Here is a 23,513-nt window from a genome sequence, read left to right on the forward strand (position 1 = left end):
CTCTGGTAATTTGGAATGGGTCAGGGCAGAGGTTCAAAGTTTATTCTTTCAACAGTTATTGAGACTGTCTATAGTCAAAGACTGTGCCAGGCCCTGGGGGTAGAGAGGTGAACAGAGCTGAGTCCTGCCTTTACAGCCACAGTGTGTGGTGAGGAGAACACAATTGCACCATGGGAGCCAAGGGCCTGAGCGCTAATGGCAGAGCCAGGTGCTCAGGGAGCCCTGGGGAAGGAAGAGCTAACTGTTTAAAAAGCATTTACTCGGTGGCTCACACCTATAATCCCAGCACTTTGGAGGCCGATGTGGGAGGATTGCTAGAGCCCAGGAGTTCAAGATGAGCCTGGGCAACCTAGTGAGACCTCATCTCTACAAAAAATTTGAAGAAAAATAAAATAGCCAGTCATGGCAGCACTTAGTCTTAGCTACTTGGGAGGCTGAGGTGGGAGGATCACTTGAGCCTGGGAGGCTGAGGCTGCAGTGAGTGGTGATCACACCACTGCACTCCACCCTGGGTGACAGAGGCAAGCAAGACCTTGTCTCAAAAAAATAAAAAAACACCAAAGATAATAAATAATAATAATAATAATAATAAAAATAATTTACTATGCAAATCAACAATGAAAACTATTTAGGAAAAGAGCCTGCTTGTGAAGGTCCCTCAAGCCTTTATGGCTTTTATTTCCATGCTAACAGACAATGTGATTGGCCTTGCCCTCCTACCCTCCAGGGAGAGTTGGGGTGGATGCCTTCTGCTGCTCCTGGAAGAGTCTAGGACATTTTATCATCTCATGATAGCCTGGTAGGTAAACTATTATTGTCACCATTTACAGATGAGGAAACTGTAACTTGGGGAGGTTAAGTGACTTGCCCAGAGTGACAATTACTAATTTTTGAGATTAGGATTAGGACAGAGGTGTTCTGTCTCCAGCATCATGAGACTCTGTTCTGTGTGTTGGACTCCAGACCTGACTGGATCCCAGCAGTGTAAGCTTGGTGTCCCTCATCAGGTAGGACTGATGCTATCTGCCCCAGGATGGTTGAGCACTTGGTCACCTGCACCACCCTAAACCAATATATGGCATTGCTGTTGCAACGTTGGTTTCTCCAGGCTACACCACCCTTAGGAATAATAGTCTGAAGGTATATTTTCATTTGTCAGACATGTGTGTGCCCACGCTATATACTATGCTCCTCCCCCTCCAGCAAGATGGCTGGGACCCCATGTCCTAGCCTGCTCTTGCCCCTCTGTGGATCCCAGGGGCTCTGTGCCCATCTCTAACTCTTGACCCTTAAGGCCTCTGTGGTGTTCTGATGGGGGTAAAATGTTCCCCAGTGTCCTGTGCCACATACTGCCCTACAGGGAAGGAAACTGGGCTGCCTTAAAAGCCTAGTATCCTAAAGAAAACCCCTCTCTTGTTTGTGGTTGTTCTTTATTGCATGCTCTCTAAGACTTGGCTCAAAGGGCTGAGGTCCATGAGCCATACTGGACTCCAAATTATTTCTCTTCCTGTCAACTCTTCATAACTCTTAAACTAAGTTTACCATCACTGCCTTTTGTCTCTTGTGCAAATGGACCCCAGTAGTCTCATCCTGTGGATCTTCCATATTTTCCATTGATCTATAGGGGACACAGAGCTCAGATCCTGACACTGAGACTCCTGGATGTTTTTATTATTTAAGAGGCAGGGAATAAGTATAGGGGAGCATCCAGGCCCTGAGGCTGGGACACAGGTGGGGCTGTCCCTGGCAGCTTCTCTGCAGGCTTTTTGCAGCCTGGATAACTCATCTCTCTTTCAACCACCTCCCACTGTGCTGTGCACCTGCAGCCAGCCCAGCCAGCCCCTGCCCAGCTTGCCTCCTGCCTGAAGAACACAGGTCAGTGGAGCTGATTTTTCTGATCTTGAAGGAGGTGAAGGATTTCACCCTTGAGTGAATCAAGTGTGTGCTCATCAGTTTGATGGCCCGTGAGTGTCTTTTCTCACTGACACAGCAGCAGCATCGTGGAGCTGCCTCCTCACTGAGCAGGGTAAGAGACTCCCAGAGTTGGCCTGAGAGGTTTTGGAGGCACACACTTGGCCACTAGGAGCCACCAGCCCCACAGAGATACTGCTGGACTCCCTGAAAGCAGCCTCTAGGGAGATAAAAATGTCAAGGGCCACTGGGCAGCATAAGTGAGGTTGTGTCTGCTGGGCCAGGATACCTGCCTTGGGGCGTCCAGAAGGTGGTGTGGCCAATGGGAGTAGCATGGGCTTTTAGCCAAACCTCAGCTCTGTCTCTCTCTGGCTGTGTCTTTGGGCAAGTTCTCTGACTTCTCTGAGCCTCACGTGCCTTATCTGTGAAATGTGGGTGATAGTACTACCTGTCACACGGTGGGGTTGGGAGGCAAAAAGACTTAGAGTATGGAAAATAGCAAGGATGACATGTGGCCCAGGGAGGGCTCAGTAGCCATTAATATCTCTTTCTAGAGAATCTGTCCACCTCCACAGCTGTGAAAGGGAGAAGAGTTCCCTGGGTCTGGCAGAAGGCAGTGAAACCTCAATCTCTTCCAGACCCCTATATTTTATTTTTTTGGATTTCAAAATAGGGCTTGGGCTCTAGAAATACTGGTTTGCCGAATTGGGCATGGAGCCACCAGTTCTCCCTCAGTGATCAGGGGCCGTTACTAAGTCTCAGTTATCTGCGGAGGAGAGTTTGGATTGGGGGATTCCATGGGATTCCTTCCCTCTGGGCTTCGGAGGGCAGGATCACTCCGTTCCCACCCCGCACAGGGTGTGTTGGGAAAACATGAAGGGAACCTGAAGCTTCAGCTTCTCCACTGGAGCAGTCCTTGGCTCTGCCTCAGTGAGAGACTGCAAATTATTTACAGTCCATGGGATTGATGATGTAGAGACTGATGTCCAAGCTTCTTGGATTGGTTTTAGCTCCTAGCCCAGGAGTGGGCGTTAGGCTGAGATGCCAAGTGGGGATCACTTGGCCCCCAGGTGACCCCTCTGCATCCATTTCCCTGGGCATTCCTTAAGGCTCAGTGCAGCACAGTCCATGCCCCTCACACCACTCTGGAAGCAAGGTGGCACACGATCCCATGCAGCAGAACAGTGGGTGCAAGACCCTACACCCCTCTCTTTCACTCTGCTTCATTGTACCCATCCTGAGGACCTGGGGGGCCCCTGTGCCTAACATCTGTGATTCTGGAGTCTTTAGCAAATCAGTTGATTTCTACGGATACCTCAGAGGGCTTCTTCATGCTCTGCCTCTACGTTTGTCTTTTCCCAAAGGCCCTAAGCCAGTAGGTTTCATAAACTTTTTTTTCTTTTTTTCCAGCTCTAGAGTCTCGTAAGATGCTACTTGGTTTAGAGAAAAGTGTGCCATCAAATAAGTTTGGGAAATGCTGCATTTTATATATATTCACCTCTTAGAGGCTCATAACCAGGGCTCCAGCATTGCCCACCTCCCGTGGCACCATTGCAGGGTCAGCACTGTAACCGTGTCTCTGAGAAATCCCGTAGTAAAGGCCACTGCTTAGAATCATCTAAATGATTCTTGAAATTATTTAGGTGTTACACCTGGAACTTCTAATAACAAGAGGGTGACCATCTATTAATAATATATAGTCTATTCAGGACACTGGAGTGAAACATTACAGAAGACAAAGGGAGAGGGCAGCTAAAAATAATCACCAGCTGTTAATTGGTCTATAGTGGGCATCTATAAATGGGAGTGTCTTGGTGTCTTATCTACCAACTTCTCAAGGGACACTGGTATTCCGTGAAACATAGTCTGGGAAATGCTGTTCCTTGTGCAGTTTAGTCAGCACCTAATTGCCAGGCACTGTGCTAGGCACTGGGGATACAGTAGAGAACAAGACAAGCATGGCCTTGGCTTATATCCAAGACTAGCAGGGAAGGCAGGGATAAACACATAATAATAGATAAGTGATGTGTGTTACAAAAGAGAGAGTCAAGGGTACTGTGGACAGGGATGGTGCATAGCACAGGGATATTACTTCGTCCAGGAGGCCACAGGATGGCCTTCCTGTGACACTGCTATTTATTTTGAAGCTTGATAGATGAGTAGTAGAAGTTAGCCAGGCAAGCAAGAGCTGGGGAGTGGAGAGCTTTCTGGGCAGAGGGAACAGTATGTGCAAATGGTCAGGGTCAGAGAGAAGCTTTTGGTTGCAAGTCACAGAAAACTAAACCGAAAGCAGCTAAAATGCCAAGTAAATGAATTGGCTTCCACAGTAGGAGGTCTAGAGGCAGGCAGGGGCCAGGGAGGCTGTCAGCATTGTTTGTCCTGGTGGCTCAGGGACATCAGATTCAGGCTTTCCAGTCTCTTCACTCCACTGTCCACAGCCTCAGCTTTCTCCCAAGATTGGCTTTCTCTCCAAGATTGGCTTCTCCCAAGATTGGATTCCCTTTGTATTGTATTGTGGGCTATCAGTAGCATTTTTTTTTTTTCAAGTCTAACATGAGAGTAAGAACCAAAGTCTTCCCTCAAGTCTTAATGGGGCCAATCTGGCTCACTTAACCACCCTGAACTGATTATTGTCATGGGGGAATGCCTGGCTCTGATTGACTTAGTCTGGGTTCTTAAAAGCAAAGCAAAACAAAACAAACCAAAATACTGGTAAGGGAAATGGGATTACTGTGATTGACTTAGACCCAGCGATTGGCAGAGTTTTTCCATGAAGGGCCAGATAGTAAATATTTTAGGCTTTGTGGGCCATATGGTCTCTGTTATGACTTCTTTTTTTCCTAGAATCTTTTTTTAAAATAAATTTTTTATTGTATATATTTGAGGCTTACAACATGATGTTAGGGGATACATATAGATAGTAAGATGGTTGCTATAGTGAAGCAGATTAACATGTCTATTATCACACATACTTTTTATGACAAGAGCAGCTAAAATCTACTTATTTAACAAAAATCTCTAATATAACACACTTTATATTAGAGATTTTTGTTAAATAAGTAGATTTTAATCCTCACATTGTACGTTAGGTCTCTAAACGTGTTCATCCTACATACCTGCCATTTTGTATTCTTAGACTTATGTCTCCCTATTGTTTCTTCTCCCCCTTATCCCCACCTGTGATAACCACTGTTTTATTCTCTGTGTATGTGAGTTCTTCTTTATAAAAATATTCTACATATAACTGAGATAATGCAATATTTGTCTCTCTGTCTAGCTTATTCACTTAGCATATTGTTCTCTAGGTCCGTCCATGTTGTAACAAATAGCAAGATCTCCTTTTCTAAAGTTGAATAATATATATATACACACAATGGAATATTTTATATATATATAAACATATATATACATATATATAAACATAGATATACATATATAAACATATATATACATATATATATATACTTTTCTTTTTTATTATACTTTAAGTTCTGGGATACATGTGCAGAACGTGCAGGTTTGTTACATAGGTATACATGTGCCATGGTGGTTTGCTGCACCCATCAACCCGTCATCTACATTAGGTATTTCTCCTAATGCTATCCCTCACCTAGACTCCCAACCCCCGACAGGCCCTAGTGTCTGATGTTCCCCTCCCTGTGCCCAACGTTCTCATTGTTCAACTCCCACTTATGAGTGAGAACATGCAGTGTTTGGTTTTCTGTTCCTGTGTTAGTTTGCTGAGAATAATGGTTTCCAGCTTCATCCATGTCCCTGCAAAGGACACGAACTCATTCTTTTTTTATGGCTACACAGTATTCCATGGTGTATATGTGCCACATTTTTTTTTTATTCAGTCTGTCATTGATGGGCATTTGGGTTGGTTCCAAGTCCTTGCTATTGTGAATAGTGCTGCAGTAAACATATGTGTGCACGTATCTTTAGAGTAGAATGATTTACAGTCTTTGGGTATATACCCAGTAATGGGATTGCTGGGTCAAATGGTATTTCTAGCTCTAGATCCTTGAGGAATCGCCACACTGTCTTCCACAATGGTTGAACTAATTTAGACTCCCACCAACAGTGTAAAAACGTTCCTATTTCTCCACATCCTCTCCAGCATCTGTTGTTTCCTGACTTTTTAATGATCGTCATTCTAAGTAGCATGAGATGGTATCTCATTGTGGTTTTGATTTGAATTTCTCTAATGACCAGTGATGGTGAGCTTTTTTTCATGTGTTTGTTGGCCACATAAATGTCTTCTTTTGCAAAGAGTCTGTTCATATCCTTCGCCCACTTTTTGATGGGGTTGTTTGTTTTTTTCTTGTAAGTTTGTTTAAGTTCCTTGTAGATTCTGGATATTAGCCTTTTGTCAGATGGATAGATTGCAAAAATTTTCTCCCATTTTACAGGTTCCCTGTTCACTCTGATGATAGTTTGTTTTGCTATGCAGAAGCTCTTTAGTTTAATTAGATCCCATTTGTCAATTTTGGCTTTTGTTGCCATTGCTTTTGGTGTTTTAGTCATGAAATCTTTGCCCATGCCTATGTCCTGCATGGTATTGCTTAGGTTTTCTTCTAGAGTTTTTATGGTTTCAGGTCTTACATTTAAGTGTTTAATTCATCTTGAGTTAATTTTTGTATAAGGTGTAAGGAAGGGGTCCAGTTTCAGTTTTCTGTATATGGCTAGCCAGTTTTCTCACCACCATTTGTTAAGTAGGGAATCCTTTTCCCATTGCTTGTTTTTGTCAGGTTTGTCAAAGATCAGATAGTTGTAGATGTGTGGCATGATTTCTGAGGCCTCTGTTCTGTTCCATTCGTCTATATATCTGTTTTAGTACCAGTACCATGCTATTTTGGTTACTTTAGCCTTGTAGCATAGTTTGAAGTCAGGTAGCATGATGCCTCCAGCTTTGTTCTTTTTGCATAGGATTGCCTTGGCTATACGGACTCTTTTTTGCTTTCATATTAAATTTAAAGTAATTTTTTCTAATTCTGTGAAGAAAGTCAATGGTGGCTTGATGTTAATAGCATTGAATCTATAAATTACTTTGGGTAGTATGGCCATTTTCATGATATTCTTCCTATCCATGAGCATGGAATGTTTTTCCGTTTGTGTCCTCTCTTATTTCCTTGAGCAGTGGTTTGTAGTTCTCCTTGAAGAGGTCCTTCACATCCCTTGTAAGTTGTATTCCTAGGTATTTTATTCTCTTTATAGCAATTGTGAATGGGAGTTTGCTCATGATTTGGCTCTCTGTTTGTCTATTATTGGTGTATAGGAATGCCTGTGATTTTTGCACATTGATTTTGTATCCTAAGACTTTGCTGAAGTTGCTTATCAGCTTAAGGAGTTTTTGGACTCAGACAATGGGGTTTTCTAAATACACAATCATGTCATCTGCAAACAGAAATAATTTGACTTCCTCTCTTCCTATTTGAATACCCTTTATTTCTTTCTCTTGCCTGAGTGCCCTGGCCAGAACTTCCAATACTGTGTTGAATAGGAGTGGTGAGAGAGGGCATCCTTGTCTTGTGCTGGTTTTCAAAGGGAATGCTTCCAGCTTTTGCCCATTCAGATATTGGCTGTGGGTTTGTCATAAGTAGCTCTTATTATTTTGAGATACGTTCCATCAATACCTAGTTTATTGAGTGTTTTTAGCATGATGGGGTATTGAATTTTATCAAAGGCCTTTTCTGCATCTATTGAGATAATCATGTGGTTTTTGTCATTGGTTCTGTTTATGTGTTGGATTACGTTTATTGATTTGCATATATTGAACCAGCCTTGCATCCCAGGGATGAAGCCAACTTGATCATGGTGGATAAGCTTCTTGATGTGCTGCTGGATTTGGTTCGTTAGTATTTTATTGAGGATTTTTGAATCGATGTTCATCAGGAATATTGGCCTGAAATTTTCTTTTTTTGTTGTTGTTGTGTCTCTGCCAGATTTTGGTATCAGGATGATGCTGGGCTCATAAAATGAGATAGGGAGGAGTCCCCCTTTTTCTATTGTTTGGAATAATTTCAGAAGGAATGGTACCAGCTCCTTTTTCTACCTCTGGTAGAATTCAGCTGTGAATCTGTCTTGTCCTGGGCTTTTTATGGTTGGTAGGCTATTAATTACTGCCTCAATTTTAGAACTTGTTATTGGTCTATTCAGGAATTCAACTTCTTCCTGGTTTAGTCTTGGGAGGGTTTATGTGTCCAGGAATTTATCCATTTTTTTCTAGATTTTCTAGTTTATTTGCATAGAGGTGTTTATAGTATTCTCTGATGGTAGTTCGTATTCTTTGGGATCAGTGGTGATCCCCCCTTTATCATTTTTTATTGTGTCTATTTGATTCTTCTGTCTTTTTCTTTATTAGTCTGGTTAGTGGTCTATCTATTTTGTTAGTCTTTTCAAAAAACCAGTTCCTGGATTCACTGATTTTTGGAAGGGTTTTTCATGCCTCTATCTCCTTCAGTTCTGCTCTGATCTTAGTTATTTCTTGTCTTCTGCTAGCTTTTGAATTTGTTTGCTCTTGCTTCTCTAGTTCTTTTAATTGTGATGTTAGGGTGTCAATTTTTAGATCTTTCCTGCTTTCTCCTTTGGGCATTTTGTGCTATAAATTTCCCTCTAAACATTGCTTTAGCTTTGTCCCAGAGATTCTGGTACGTTGTGTCTTTGTTCTCATTGGTTTCAAAGAACTTATTTATTTCTGCCTTAATTTCATTATTTACCCAGTAGTCATTCAGGAGCAGGTTGTTCAGTTTCCATGTAGTTGTGCAGTTTTCAGTGAGTTTCTTAATTCTGAGTTCTAATTTGATTGCATTGTGGTCTGAGAGACTGTTTGTTATGATTTCCATTCTTTTGCATTTGCTGAGGAGTGTTTTACTTCCAATTATGTGGTCAATTTTAGAATAAGTGCTATGTGGTACTGAGAAGAATGTATATTCTGTTGATTTGGGGTAGAGAGTTCTGTAGGTGGCTGTTAGGTTCGCTTGGTCCAGAGTTGAGTTCAAGTCCTGAATATCCTTGTTAATTTTCTGTCTCGTTGATCTGTCTAATATTGACAGTGGAGTGTCGAAGTCTCCCACTATTATTGTATGGGAGTCTAAGTCTCTTTGTGGGTCTCTAAGAACTTGCTTTATGAATCTGGGTGCTCCTGTATTGGGTGCATATATATTTAGATAGTTAGCTCTTCTTGTTGCATTGATCCCTTTACCATTATGTAATGTCCTTCTTTGTCTTTTTTGATCTTTGTTGGTTTAAAGTCTGTTTTATCAGAGACTAGGATTGCAACCCTGCTGTTTTTTTGCTTTCCATTTGCTTGGTAAAGCTTCCTCCATCCCTTTATTTTGAGCCCACGTGTGTCTTTGCATGTGAGATGGGTCTCCTGAATACAGCACACCGATGGGTCTTGACTCTTTATCCAATTTGCCAGTCTGTGCCTTTTAATTGGGGCATTTAGCCCATTTACATTTAAGGTTGATATTGTTATGTGTGAATTTGATCCTGCCATTATGATGCTAGCTGGTTATTTTGCCCATTAGTTGATGCAGTTTCTTCATAGTGTTGATGGGCTTTACATTTTGGTTTGTTTTTGCAGTGGTTGATACCAGTTTTTTGTTTTTGTTTTTTTTTTCCTTTTTAGTGCTTCCTTCAGGAGCTCTTGTAAGGCAGGCCTGGTGGTGATAAAATCCCTCAGCATTTGTTTGTGTATAAAGGATTTTATTTCTCTTTTACTTATGAAGCTTAGTTTGGCTGGATATGAAATTCTGGATTGAAAATTCTTTTCTTTAAGAATGTTGAATATTAGCCCCCACTCTCTTCTGGCTTGTAGGGTTTCTGCAGAGAGATCTGCTGTTAGTCTGATGGGCTTCCCTTTGTGGGTAACCCGACCTTTCTCTCTGGCTGCCCTTAACATTTTTTCCTTCATTTCAACCTTGGTAAATCTGACGATTATGTGTCTTGGGGTTGCTCTTCTCTAGGAGTATCTTTGTGGTGTTCTCTGTATTTCCTGAATTTGCATGTTGGCATGTCTTGCTATGTTGGGGAACTTCTCCTGGATAATATCCTGATGTGTGTTTTCCAACTTGATTCCATTCTCCCCGTCACTTTCAGGTACACCAATCAAACGTAGGTTTTGTCTTTTCTTATAGTCCCATATTTCTTGGAGGCTTTGTTCATTCCTTTTCATTCTTTTTTTTCTAATCTTGTCTTCACACTTTATTTCATTAAGTTGATCTTCAATCTCTGATATCCTTTCTTCTGCTTGATCGGTTTGGCTATTGATCCTTGTGTATGCTTCACTAAGTTCTTGTGCTGTATTTTTCAGCTCCATCAGGTCATTTATGTTCTTTCCTAAACTGGTTATTCTAGTTAACAATTCCTCTAACCTTTTATCGAGGTTCTTAGCTTCCTTGCATTGGGTTAGTACATGCTCCTTTAGCTCAGAGGAGTTCGTTATTACCCACCTTCTGAAGCCTACTTCTATCAATTCGTCAAATTCATTCTCCGTCCGGTTTTGTTCCCTTGCTGACGAGGAGTTGTGACCCTTTGGAGGAGAAGCAGCATTCTGGTTTTTGGAATTTTCAGCCTTTTTGTGCTGGTTTTTCCTCATCTTCGTGGATTTATCTACCTTTGGTCTTTGCTGCTGGTGACCTTCAGATAGAGTTTCTGTGTGGTTGTCCTTTTTGTTGATGTTGATGTTGTTGCTTTCTGTTTGTTATTTTTCCTTCTAACAGTCAGGCCTCTCTTCTGCAAGTCTGCTGGAGGTCCATTCAAGACCCTGTTTGCCTGGGTATCACCAGCAGAGGCTGCAGAACAGCAAAGATTGCTGCCTGCTCCTTCCTCTGGAAGTTTCATCATAGAGGGGCACCTGCCAGATGCCAGCTGGAGCTCTCCTGTATGAGGTGTCTGTCGACCCCTGCTGGGAGGTGTCTCCCCATCAGGAAGCACAGGGGTCAGGGACACACTTGAGAAGGCAGTCTGTCCCTTAGCAGAGCTTGAGCACTGTGCTGGGAGATCCACTGCTCTCTTCAGAGCTGGCAGGCAGGAATGTTTAAGTCTGCTGAAGTTGTGCCCACAGCCGCCCCTTCCCCCAGGTGCTCTGTCCCAGGGAGATGGGAGTTTTATCTATAAGCTGCTGACTGGGGCTGCTACCTTTCTTTCAGAGATGCCTTGCCCAGAGAGGAGGAATCTAGAGAGGCAGTCTGCCTGCAGTGGCTTTGCAGCGCTGTGGTGTGCTCCACCCAGTCCAAATTTCCCAGCGGCTTTGTTTACACTGTAAGGGGAAAACCTCCCACTCAAACCTCAGTAATGGCAAACGCCCCTCCCCCCACCAAGCCTGAGCATCCCAGGTCGACTTCAGACTGCTGTGCTGGCAGCGGGAATTTCAGGCCAGTGGATCCTAGCTTGCTGGGCTCAGTGAGGGTGGGATCCACTGAGCAAGACCACTTGGCTCCCTGGCATCAGCCCCCTTTTCAGGGGAGTGTACGGTTCTGTGTTGCTGGCATTCCAGGCACCACTGGGGTATGAAAGAAACTCCTGCAGCTAGCTTTGGTGTCTACTCAAATGGCTGCCCAGTTTCGTGCTTGAAACCCAGGGGCCTTGTGGTGTAGGAACCCGAGGGAATATCCTGTTCTGTGGGTTGCAAAGACCATGGGAAAAGCGTAGTATCTGGGCCAAATATCACCGTCCCTCACAGCACAGTCCCTCATGGCTTCCCTTGGCTAGGGGAGGTAGTTCTCTGACCCTTTGCACTTCCTGGGTGAGACGACACCCCACCCTGCTTCTGCTTGCCCTCTGTGGGCTGCACCCACTGTCTAACCAATCCCAGTGAAATGAACCAGGTACCTCAGTTGGAAACACAGAAATAACCTGCCTTCTGCGTTGGTCTCGCTGGGAGCTGCAGACTGGAGCTGTTCATATTCAGCCATCTTGCCCAGGAATCCGTGTATTATATTTTCTTTATCCATTTGTCTGCCAATGGATATGTAGGTTGTTTCCATATCTTGGCTATTGTGATTAATAGTACAATGAACATGGCAGTTGAAATATCTTTATAAGGTAGTGATTTCATCTTCTTTGGGTATATACCCAGAGGAGGGATTGTTGAGTTGTATGGTAGTTCTATTTTTTATTTCTTGGTGAACCTCCATACCATTTTCCATAAGGGCTGTTACCAATTCATGTTCCCACCAAACAGTGCACTAGAGGTCTCTTTTCTTCACACCCTTGCCAACACTTGTTATCTTTTGTCTATTTGATAATAGCCATTTTTACAATTGTGAAGTGAAATCGTGGTTTTAATTTGTATTTCCCTGAGGATAAGTGATCTTGAGCACTTTTTCATATATCTGTTGGCCATTTGTATGTATTCTTGGGAGAACCATCTGTTTGGTCCTTTGCCCATTTTTAAATTGGGTTATTTGTTTTTCTGCTATTAATTTATAAGAGTTTTAAAAATAAATTTTGGATGTCAACTTCTTATCAGATATGTGGTTTGCACATATTTTTTTTCCCAGTCTGTAGGTTGCCTTTTCATTTTGTTGTTTATTTTGCTGTACAGAAGCTTTGTAGTTTATGTAGTCCCATTTATTTATTTTTGCTTTTGTAGCCTGAGCTTTTGGTGTGCTATCCAAAAAAATCATTGTTAAGGCCAGTGTCAAGGAGCTTTTTCTTTGTGATCTTTTCCAAGAGTCTTATGGTTTCAGGTCTTACATTTATGTCTTCTATGCATTTCGAGTTTATTTTTGTGTGTGGTGTAAGATAAGGGTCCAATTTCATTCATTTGCATGTGGAAATCCAGTTTTTCAGCACCATTTATTAAAGAGACTATCATTTCCCCATTGTGTCCTCTTGGTGCCCTTGTCAAAAATCAGTTGACTGTTTATGTTTGGATTCATTTCTGGGTTCTCCATTCTGGTTCCATTGGTCTGTGTTTCTGTTTTTAGCCAGTACCATACTGTTTTGATTACTACAACTTTGTAATATAATCTTAAGTCAGGAAGTGTGATGCTTCCAACTTTCTTTTTCTTTCTCAGTACTGCTTTGGATATTAAGGGTTTTTTTTTTTTGTGATCCCATGGAAATTTTAGGGTTGTTTTTCTATTTCTATGAAGAATGTCATTGGAATTTTAATAGGGGCTTTATTAAACCTATGTATTGCTTTGGGTAGTATGGGCATTTTAACAATATTATTCTTATTCATTAACATGGGATATCTTTCCATTTATTTGTTTATCTTCTTCAATTTCTCTCATCAACATCTTATAGCTTTTGGTGTAAAAATTTTTCACCTCCTTGATTACATTTATTCCTAGATATTTTGTTTTTTGATGCTATCAATTTTTGTGGGATCATTTTCTTGATTTCTTTTTCAGCCAAGTCATTATTTGTACATAGAAATGCCGCTGATTTTTGTTTATTTTGTATACTGCAACTTTACTGAATTCATTTATTCTAACAGTTTTTTTTGTGGGTTAAAACTTTCGAGTTTTCTACATATAGGATCATGTCGTCTGTAAGTAAAGATCATTTGAATTTGGATGCCTTTTTATTTTTATTTTTTCTTATCTGATTGCTCTGGCTAGCACTAGTACTTTTCATACTATACTGAATAGAAGTTACATGGGCATTCCTGCCTTGTACCAGATCTTAGTAGAAAAGCTTTCAGTTGTTCCCCATTGATTATGAGTTTAGCTATGGGTTTTTAATACATAGCCTTTATTGTATTGAGGAATTTTTCTTCTATACCTAAACTGTTAAGAGGTTTTATCAAGAAGGGATGCTGAACTTTGTTAAATGTTTTTCTGCACCAGTTGAGATGATTGTGTGGCTTTTATCTTTCATTCTATTAATGTGATGTGTCATGCTGATTGAATTGCATATGTTAAACCAGCCTTGCATGCCAGGCATAAATCCAACTTGGTCATGATATATAATCTGATTAATGAGTTGTTAAATTCAGTTTGATTATATTTTATTGAGGATTTTTATATTAATGTTAATTAGAGATATTGGCCTGTAGTTTTCTTTTCTTGCAGTGTCTTTATCTGGCTTAAGTATCAAAAGGATGGTCTTGTAAAATGTATTTGGACGTATTCCCTCTAGCTGTATTTTTTGGAAGAGTTTAAGAAGCCCTGGTAGTAATTCTTCCTTGAATGTTTGGTAGAATTCAGCTGTGATGCCATCTGGTCCTGGGGTTTTCTTTATTGGAAGGTTTTTAATTACTTCAGTTTCTTTATTTGCTATTGGTCTGTTCAAGCTTTCTGTTTCTTCCTGATTCAATCTTGGTAGGTTACATTTTTCTAGGAATTTTTTCATTTCCTCTCGGTTGTTCAGCCTCTAGGTTGAAAAATAATTGTTCAAATTGTTCATAATAGTCTCTATGATTCTTTTGTTTCTGAGGCCACTACAACTTTTAAACTTTGCCATTATAGCACAAAAGCAGCTATAGACAACACATAAATGAATGAACATGGCTGTGTTCCAATAAAACTTTATTTGTGATATTAATATTTTAATTTTATATAATTGTATGTGTCATGAAATATTCTTTTGACTTTTTCCCAAAACATTAATAATGTAAAGACAATTCTTAACTTGCAGACCACATCAAACAAAGACATGCACACACATACAAACAAAAAACAGGTGGCAGGCTAGATTTAGCAGATCATAGTTTGCTGACCTCTGACTTACACTAATAAGAGCTCATTCCTGGAGCGTGGTTTCAGTCCCTAAATTATGTTGCTGTTGTATAATGAAGGAGACATGGAATGGATAGGAAGTCAACTTCAGTATGCTCTACTAACAGCTTGGTGTTTTTGAGGGTCTGCAAGAAGTGTAGTTTAGCTGGGACTGTGGACAGTGAGGCTTACAACATCTGTGTGGTGCTCCATGGTGGACAAAGCCTGCACCAACAGTTTCTGGGCAACACTTCTCCCTATCTGGGAACTGCCATGACTCCCTCCCAGCTTAACCAATATATAATTAATTCTTTAAAATAATGGCAATGGGCTGAGAAATATTTCCCTCACTTCCAGGTAACACCCAAACCCATACATTTTAGCAGGGCCTTCCTGCTCCCACTTTTGTTGTTAGACCCAGAGGAGTTCTGCAATTAGTCAGTTAGTCCGTAAGTAGTCATTGAAACACTTACTAGCTTTGCAGTCCCCATGGGTGCAATAGGGAAGCAAAGGAATTGAATGATCCTCCTATATAGTCAAGGCATGGCATACAAAACATACACACAAAAATCTTCCCAAATTCTACAGCACAGAGCTGCCTGGGTGATGGTGGCATGATAAAATTACCTTAACTCCCAGCATCTGTTTATGCCACATAGTGAAAGTTAATGAGGGCTGACCCTCAGCAAAACTGGGAAGTCACCCAAAGTTAAGCTTCTGGCTCTAGCCATCCTTTCTAAAAACACGTTACCTCTTTTAGTGGCAAACTGTTTCTCAGTCCCATCACTGTATCAGGCCCTGTCTCTTCTCTGACCTTGCTCCATCCTTTATAAACAAAGATCTGCCATTGGCCAGTCCTACTTGAGGCTGGCTGACAAGGTATACTTTCTTTTGGATGAATTTCATTTATTTGTTCTCTTATGCTATGTATGCATTTAAGTATTTTGTGCCTAATTCTATATTTTATGCAGTGAGAGACTTTGACTCTGGGGAAGTGCCATGGTCTCAATGTTTGTGTCTGCCCCGCCCCTGCCAAACTCATGTATACTTAACCTCTAATGTGTTAGTATTAGGAGGTGAGGACTTTGGGACATGATTAGGTCATGAAGGTAGAGCCCTTCTGGTGGGATTCGTATCCTATAAAGCAAGTCCCAGATAATTGCCTTGCTCTTTCTACCATGTGATTATACAGCTGGATGTGCTACCTATGAACCAGAAAGCAGGCCCTCACTGGACACTGCATCTGCCAGCACTCCATAACTGTGAGAAATGAATTTCTGTTGTTTATAAGTCACCTAGTTTATGGTATTTTGTTATAGCAGCCCAAATGGACTGTAACAGAAAATTGGTACCAAGAAGTGAGGGTGCTGCTCTAACAAATACCTAAAATGTGGAGTCAACTTTGGAACTGGGTAATGGGTAGAGGCTGGAAGAGTTTTGAGATGCATACTAGAAAAAACTTACATTGCCAAGAACAGACTGTTAAGGGTGATCCTGATGAGGGCTCAAAAGAGGAGAACCACAGAGAAAACTTCAGTCTTTGTAGAGATTAGCTAAGTGGTCATGAACTGAATGTTGGTAGAAATATGGAAGATAGAGGCCATCCCAATGAAATTTCAGGCAGAAATGAGGAATATGTTATTGGACAATGGAGGAGTGGAGGAGAGGACATCCTTCTTATAAAGTGGCAAAGAATGTGGCTGAATTGTGTTTGTGTTCTAATATTGTAATATAGAAGGTCTAACTTGTGAGCAATGAAACTGGATATATGACTGAGGAAATTTCTAAGCAAAGTGTTGAAGATGTGGCTTGGCTTATGAGTGCTTATAGTGATATTCGAGAGGAAAGAAATGGAACAAGACAGAACTTACAATCAAAGGGAAAGGAGAATTTAAATATTTAGAAAATCCCCAGTCTATCTGTATTGTAAAGAATGAGAAAGTGTGTTGAGAGAGAACACTAAGGGTGTAAACAGGTAACTCTTTGATAGGGAGATTGGTATGCTATCTCAGTGGAATCCAGGACCTATTATACAAGACAATGGAAGAATGACCCATAAGACATTTCAGGGATCATCAGCACTTATCTCCATCACTATAGCTGCCCCAGGTGTGGCTCCAGTGGGTGCAGGTATGTGGGGGCATAGCTGCCTTCACCTAGATTTCAAAGGATGCTCTTGAGAGCCATAGAGCTCAGGCAGAAAATTGCTGCAGGAGTGAGATCACCATGGAGAACCCCCACTTGGGCAATTGCCCAGTAGAACCACAGGGGTAGAACTACCCTCATGATCACAGATTGGTAGAAATGGCAGTGATTCTAGTCCAGAGGAGCTTCAAGCATGTGACTTCAACCTCTGAGGGCTATAGTGTGGGTTGTACCCAAAAAAGCCAAAAGGACAGGACTGCCCAAAGCCTTTGGGGCAGGACCACTCAGAGCCTTGTGGGCTCAGCCTCTGCCCCAGTGTGTCTAGAAGGCAGGAACTCTGCCCTAACAGGTCTAGCGGCCAGAGCCTTGAGTCAGAAGATTATTGTCTTAGTTCATTCCTACTGCTATTTAAAAAACAAACAAACAAACAAAAAACAAAAAAAACCTTAGAATGAGTAATATATAAAGAATATAAATTTATTATATTTCTCAGAATTCCAGAGGCGGGGAAGTCCAAGATTACACAGCCAGTATATTAGATGTCTAGTGAGGGCCTGTTTCATGCATGGCATTTTCTCCTGGCATCCTCAAATAAAAATTAGATTTTCTTGAGCACCTACTGCATGCTAGGCTCTGTAGTAAGTAAGTATTGGGGATGACAAGAGGAGAACTACTGTATATTCCCCATCCTCTGTTATCATGCAGTGATTAAGAGCCAGGATGGGAATTAGGGCAGGAAACAGTGGCTTAGTGCCTTCAACTCAGGCTAAGGAGGTCAAAAAAGGAGATGGTCTGCAAGCTTGAACTAGGCTGGTAGGTGAGAACAGGTGGTGTATGTGCGCGCGTGTGTGTGTGTTACATGGGAGAAATGAGAACATTTTATATTGTGGGGAGAAGGAGAGAAGGGAAGATGAAGTTTTGGGAGAGAGGGCATGGGAAGAAAGGGGAAGGAATGGGATCTAGCATGCTGCTGGAAGGATTGGCCTTACACAGGGGAGGGATACCTCTTCCCTGGGACAGAAGGGAAAGTGGGTCCAAGTGCTGGTGCATTCATTCATTCATTCATCTAGTCATCTAGTCACATCAACTCATTAAATATTTATTGAATCCTGTGATTGGCCAATATTACTATGCTAGGCAATGAGGATATAAAGTTGACAATAATAAATTCAGTGCATATTTGTTGAGCATCTAGAGATTGAGTACTATTCCAACAATAATAGCAGTATTATTGAGGATTGATCATATGCCTGTTTTTGTTTGAAATTTTTCCATATTTTATTTAATCATCATAACAGTAGATGTTGATATTTTCACTTGTTTTTGATGGTCAAACTGGGACATAGAGATTAGGTAACCTGCACAAGGCCACATGGCTAAGAAGGAGCAGAGACAGCCTTTGTGTCTAGTCAGCCTGTGGTCTGAAGCCCACCCTTGTACCCATCAAATGTTCTGCCTCAAGAAGCTTGTCTAGCCCAGCTGGAGTAGACAGATACACAGACAAATAATTAAAATACAGCAGATGTCTATTTCCGACAGTGTGGTTGACTAGATAATATGAAAACTCCTCTTCTATAAAATACCAGGAAATGCTGGATAAAATGTAATAACAAACATTTTTGAGAAGCTAGCTGAGCAAGAAGGAGCAACAGGAAAACCACCAGGGACCAAACACGGAGAGAAAGCTGAAAGCTGAAGTGGTAAGCGTGCGAATGGATGCAGTGGCAGCCTGGAGTGGGGAAGTGGGGGTGTTGCTCCTCAGGAAATTCCAGGGATTTGGATTTTATTGTTCAAGGAAAGATAGGAGGCAAAACCTTGGAACTGTGTTAGGCGAGAGTTAGAATTGAGAACCCCACATAAAGGCAGTGCTTTCAAGGCCACGCCCTTGGTGAAATGAGGACTGTAAAACAGCTGACTCATAGGTAGAGGGGATAAACTGGGCTCTGAGTTAGAAAAAATTGTCCCCTGGGACTTTATAACCACAGACTACTCTCAAAGGGTTTGAAGTTTAAACTTATACCCTCTGCTGGTCCAAGAATTACCAAGTTAAAACATTTGTATAGAAAGTGGTCACAGGCTGGTAATGCTCCTGAAGTTTCTGACAGAAGCAAAACAAAACCCTCAAGTGAACAAACCATCTACCTTGGCCACAAAGGATTCCCACAGAAAAAGCCCCACTGACAATGAGCTCGCAATCCAAAATTCAATAACAAAGAGGAAAGCAACCCCTGCAAATGAGTCAGCAGAAGCTACAAACATCAGGATTAGACCCTCAGAAGGTACAGCCAATTGCGTCACCAGACAGAGCTGATCACAGCACCATCTAATCATTTTTTCATGCTGGAAGGATGCTGAGTCTAGGAGAAAGAGCTCTGCCTGGAGGAGCCAGAGAAGGGCTCCCCAGGTCATGTTTGAGCAGATACTGAAGAATTGGTAGGAGTTTGCGAAAGGGAGTGCTAGGGAGGTGGCTTTAGGGTTAGAGAGCTGTGTATTAGGGTTCTTTAGAGAAACAGAACCAGCTCTGTGTGTGTGTGTATTTGTGTGTGTGGAGAGAGAGATTGAGACTGACTGATATTAAGGAATTGGCTCACATGGTTATGGAGACTGGCAAGTTCAATCTGCAGGGCAGGCCAGCAGGCTGGAGACCCAAGGAGGATTGCAGGTCAGGTCAAAAGGCAGAAGTCTGGAGACAGAATTCCCTTTTTGGGGGGACCTCAGTCTTTTTCTTCTCTTAAGTAAGTCCTTCAGCTGATTGGATAAGACCCAGTCACATTATGGAGAGCCATCTGCTTCACCCAAAGTCTACTGATTTAAATGTTAATCATATAAAAAATACCTTCATCTAGACTGGTGTTTGGCCAAACATTCAGGCACTGTAGCCTAACCCAGGTCCTTATAGTCTGCATTCTCTCTGTGAATAGGGAGGTGGGGTGATCTGTGGAGGGGAAAGATATCAGGGTGGCTGGGAAGCCGAGAGGAGTGGGGACTCTGAGCTGGTAATGGTTAAGTCCGTTGACAAGGCTGCTGGACCATTTGGGGGCCCAGCTGAGTGTGAGGGAGTGTGTGAATACACGCATGAACAAATAGAAACCTAAATGACAGCAGAGGGCCTACTGATGCGGCATGAGTGACACTCTACCACAGGGGTGAGAGACGAGATAAAGATGGGGCTAGGCACAGAGAGGTGTGTGTGTGTGGTGTCAGATGTGTGGAGGCACCCAGCAATCCTTCCTTCCCTTCCCCTCCTCTGCCCTTGGCATCCCAGAGGGGCAGTTTATGTTTTCAGCACTTCTAACTTATGTGAGTTGGTGTTTAAGGAGGGCCTTGTAACATGGCTCCTTCTTGTCCACTGTCCTGGAAAACACCCTGGGCCTCTGTATTTCTTCTGCCTCTGGTCTGCTGGCAAGCCCAGAGCTCCGGCTGTTAAGAACCTGCCCTCCATTGAAGAATCTGGACTCATACACATGAAATGGCACACAAGCCATACAAGAGAGCCCCCCTAAGTGGTGAAATGTCTGATGACGGGGAGGAGGAGGAAGGACCTGAGAGACACAGCTGGGTTGGGCAGCAAGAGGACAGGGAATCAGGCAGCCTGGGTTCTGGTCCCGACTCTTCCCTTTATCACTGATGTGACTTGGGTAGAGTCCCTACCTCTCAGACCTTACAGGGCTATCTTAGGATCTAACATGTTCATGAATATTGAAAGTGTTTTGGAAAGTATAAAACATGACCATAATGACAGGTACTATTTGGAAATGCTTACTACGTGTATGGAACAAAGAAAAAGAGAATTTACAGTGTACTGATTAGGATGGGGCAGCGATGAGATTTTTACAAATTATCCTAGCAGGAAGACCTTGACTAATACCCGTCATATTCAGAGCCTGTGGCCGGCACTTTCTTTGCAGTTTCTTATTTAAACCTGATGACAATCCGACAATCCTGATGAGAACTCTTGGTTCAGACCAATCAAATAACTTGCCTAAGGGCAAAAACTAAATGGTCTAGCTGAAATTGGAGTTTGTGAGAGCCAAGCTCAGGGCTTCCTTACCACACGGTGCTACCTCTTGGGGTATTTGTGAGATACTTTTATTATTACCACTGGGGTCAGGCTGAGCCCTCTTTTGCCACCTGGTTGCCCCTAGAGCCTCCCCTGGCAGGCTGCATCCTGCAGTGGCTGATTGGGAAGCCTTCCCTGAGAAGGCATCTCTCAGTTTGACTAAGGACCTGGGTACCTACGACCTTCTTAAAAGTGTTAATAACACTTAATAAATGTGGCGGAGAAAGGTCAGCCTCCCAGTGTTGTGCCAATAAGAGATAAACCTGCCCAGAAACATCTGCTCTCTGTTATTGTTGTGCAGACGTGGCTGCAATGTCCTCTGATTAGTTCATGAATTAAGTGGAGGGAAGCAGTAAAACTGACTGCGTGCTCACATCTCTACCGCACCTCTGGGACCGCGTGGACCAGAGTGCCAGGTGGGGAGAGCTGCCAGCCCCAGGAGCCGGAGGAAGGGCTGTGTCTGCCCTCGCTCAGAGGGAAGCTGAGTTCCAGGCATTCTTTCCACCTGCTGGGCATTGGAGAGGAGGAGTTGGAGTTCCCCCTCTTTTTTGCCTGACCTCATTGGGAATCTCTGATTAGTAACCTTTGTAGAAGGGACACCCTCCATGTCTGCTGCAGTCTTTGTCCTGAAGGCAGGAGATCACTGGATGCTCTCAGAGGGGAATTAGGCTGTAAGAACAATGTATTGCTTTGTAACAAGTTATCCCAAGACTTAGCTGGCTTAAAACAAGAACGATTTGTTGTCTCACACAGTCTCTGAGGGTCAGGAATGTGGGAGCTGCTTAGCGAGTGTTTCTGGCGCAGGGTCACTCTCAAGCTGTTGGGCTGAGGCTGCAGCCATCCCAAGGCTTGACTGGGGCTGGAAAGTCCACTCCCAAGCTCAGTCAAGGTGTTGTCGGGCCTCTCGGTTCCTTGGTTCCTGTTGGCTGGAGGCCTTAGCACCTGGCGGTGTGGGTCTCTCCATAGGCCTCTTCACAGCAGGGCAGCCGGCTCTCCGCAGAGCAAGAGACAAGAGAGAGAAGAGTCCCCTTACATAGAAGTGGCAGTTTCAGAAGCAACATCCCATGATTTCTGCCATGTGCTGTTGGGCAAATCAACCCCCATTGTGTTCAGGGAGCTACGAGGGGGGTGTGAGTACCAGGAGGCAGAGGTCCTCAGGCATCCTTGGGGGCTGGCTATGACGAAGGCCTGGCAGGAACCTGTGCTGCTCGGGTGATGTAGGGAACTAGAAACTTCACCTGCGAGTCTTCCCTCCCATTCTAAAAACACCGACGCGGGTTTCTTCAAAGTTTATCTTTGAGATAAAGTCCAGGTCCCTTTCAATGGCTTACAAGGTGCTTCACAGCCCCCCAATACCTCTAACACATTTTCTGCTCTTTTCTCCAGTCACCCCCATTCCAGCTACACAAACAGTTTGGTGTCATTTCTCTGTGACCATGGACCTGCAATTTCCCTTCTCCAACCAGTAGATTTCTATCTTACAACTTGGTTTAGCCCATCTCCTCCTTTGTGAAACCTTCCTGGGCAACTTCCCAGAAAGATGGGGGCTCTCCCAGTGCCCCATAGTCACATTGTACCTCCGCTCCAGCCGCCATTCATGTCTTACTTGGGAAGTATTGAGTGAGTGCCCACTGTGTGCCCGGCACGGGGTTGGGGCTGGGGGCACAGCAGTAAACAAAACAGACACAATCCCTGCCCCGGCTGTAGTGGGGGCTGACAGACAGACAAAGAAGCCAAGAAATGTGGAATGTGTTGGGTGTTGATATACACTATGGACAAAAGGACAGAATAGGGCTGGGTGCGGTGGCTCACGCCTGTAATCCCAGCACTTTGGGAGGCCAAGGCGGGTGGATCACTTGAGGTCAGAAGTTCGAGACCAGCCTGGCCAACATGGTGAAACCCTGTCCTTACTAAAAATACAAAAAGGAGCCGGGCATGATGGCACGCATCTGTAATCCCAGCTATTTGGGAGGCTGAGGCAGGAGAATAGCTTGAACTTGGGAGGTTAAGGTTGCAATGAGTTGAGGTAGCACCACTGCACTCCAGCCTGGGTGACAGAGCCAGACTCCATCTCAAAAAAAAAAAAGAAAAAAAAAAAGGACGAAATAAAGTAGAGCAGGGTAAGGATGAGGTGGGGGTGCTGTTTCCTACCCTTTACTCAGGGAAGGCCTTGCCGCTCAGGTGACAAGGACCGGAGACCAGTACTAAGTGAGGCATTGAACTGGGAGGATATCTGGGAACAACATTCAATGCCTATCATGTTATAATGATTTGCTTTTGTTTCCACACAAGTCTGTAAGTTCCTCGAAGGCAGGGACCATGAATACATCAATTATGTCAATTTCACGTCCCCACTGCTTAGCATGGTAGAGGCCTGATGAATAAGGAATGTGCTTTTGATGTGTAGGAGTTGAAAAGTGTCTTTGAGAGACAGGATCGGGACTCTAACAAACTTCCAGAGGCACTAGGACGCTGACTGGGGGAGAAACACGAGAGAAGATAAATTTGTTTTGTGGATTAAAGACTCATTCCGTTTATATCCCTATGCCTTATAGACAAGGTGAGATGAAAATAAATTTAAATAAAGACTTTAGTTTGTATTTAATGATGTGGTTATTAGGCTGCATTTGGCAATGTGTCACCTGATTTAAAACATAAAGTTTTAAAATCGGCTTTTTCAAACACTGATTTACCCTTTGGGTCTGCCAGCTCTAATAATAAAT

At 42.9% G+C, this 23,513-nt stretch overlaps 1 protein-coding gene across 22 annotated transcripts in view, besides 4 other annotated features; it reads left to right on the forward strand.

The window, feature by feature from the left end:
• The window catches only part of GRIK4 (glutamate ionotropic receptor kainate type subunit 4), a 477,159-nt gene that overhangs the window by 243,325 nt on the left and 210,321 nt on the right, over window positions 1-23,513 (forward strand). The gene's annotated exons all lie outside the window — the stretch shown is intronic.
• Window positions 4,336-4,836: an enhancer, noted in NCBI's record as "NANOG-H3K4me1 hESC enhancer chr11:120630117-120630617 (GRCh37/hg19 assembly coordinates)". NCBI's record gives its function as "activates a minimal SCP1, AML or CMV promoter by ChIP-STARR-seq in naive H9 embryonic stem cells {active_cell/tissue: H9 hESC(naive)}" and the evidence as "EXISTENCE:reporter gene assay evidence [ECO:0000049][PMID:30033119]".
• Window positions 16,392-16,956: an enhancer, noted in NCBI's record as "OCT4-NANOG hESC enhancer chr11:120642173-120642737 (GRCh37/hg19 assembly coordinates)". NCBI's record gives its function as "activates a minimal SCP1, AML or CMV promoter by ChIP-STARR-seq in naive H9 embryonic stem cells {active_cell/tissue: H9 hESC(naive)}" and the evidence as "EXISTENCE:reporter gene assay evidence [ECO:0000049][PMID:30033119]".
• Window positions 20,700-21,481: an enhancer, noted in NCBI's record as "H3K4me1 hESC enhancer chr11:120646481-120647262 (GRCh37/hg19 assembly coordinates)". NCBI's record gives its function as "activates a minimal SCP1, AML or CMV promoter by ChIP-STARR-seq in primed H9 embryonic stem cells {active_cell/tissue: H9 hESC(primed)}" and the evidence as "EXISTENCE:reporter gene assay evidence [ECO:0000049][PMID:30033119]".
• Window positions 21,482-22,263: an enhancer, noted in NCBI's record as "H3K4me1 hESC enhancer chr11:120647263-120648044 (GRCh37/hg19 assembly coordinates)". NCBI's record gives its function as "activates a minimal SCP1, AML or CMV promoter by ChIP-STARR-seq in primed H9 embryonic stem cells {active_cell/tissue: H9 hESC(primed)}" and the evidence as "EXISTENCE:reporter gene assay evidence [ECO:0000049][PMID:30033119]".

The sequence above is a fragment of the Homo sapiens genome, chromosome 11 (assembly GCF_000001405.40).
Source record: "Homo sapiens chromosome 11, GRCh38.p14 Primary Assembly".
NCBI lineage: Eukaryota > Metazoa > Chordata > Mammalia > Primates > Hominidae > Homo > Homo sapiens.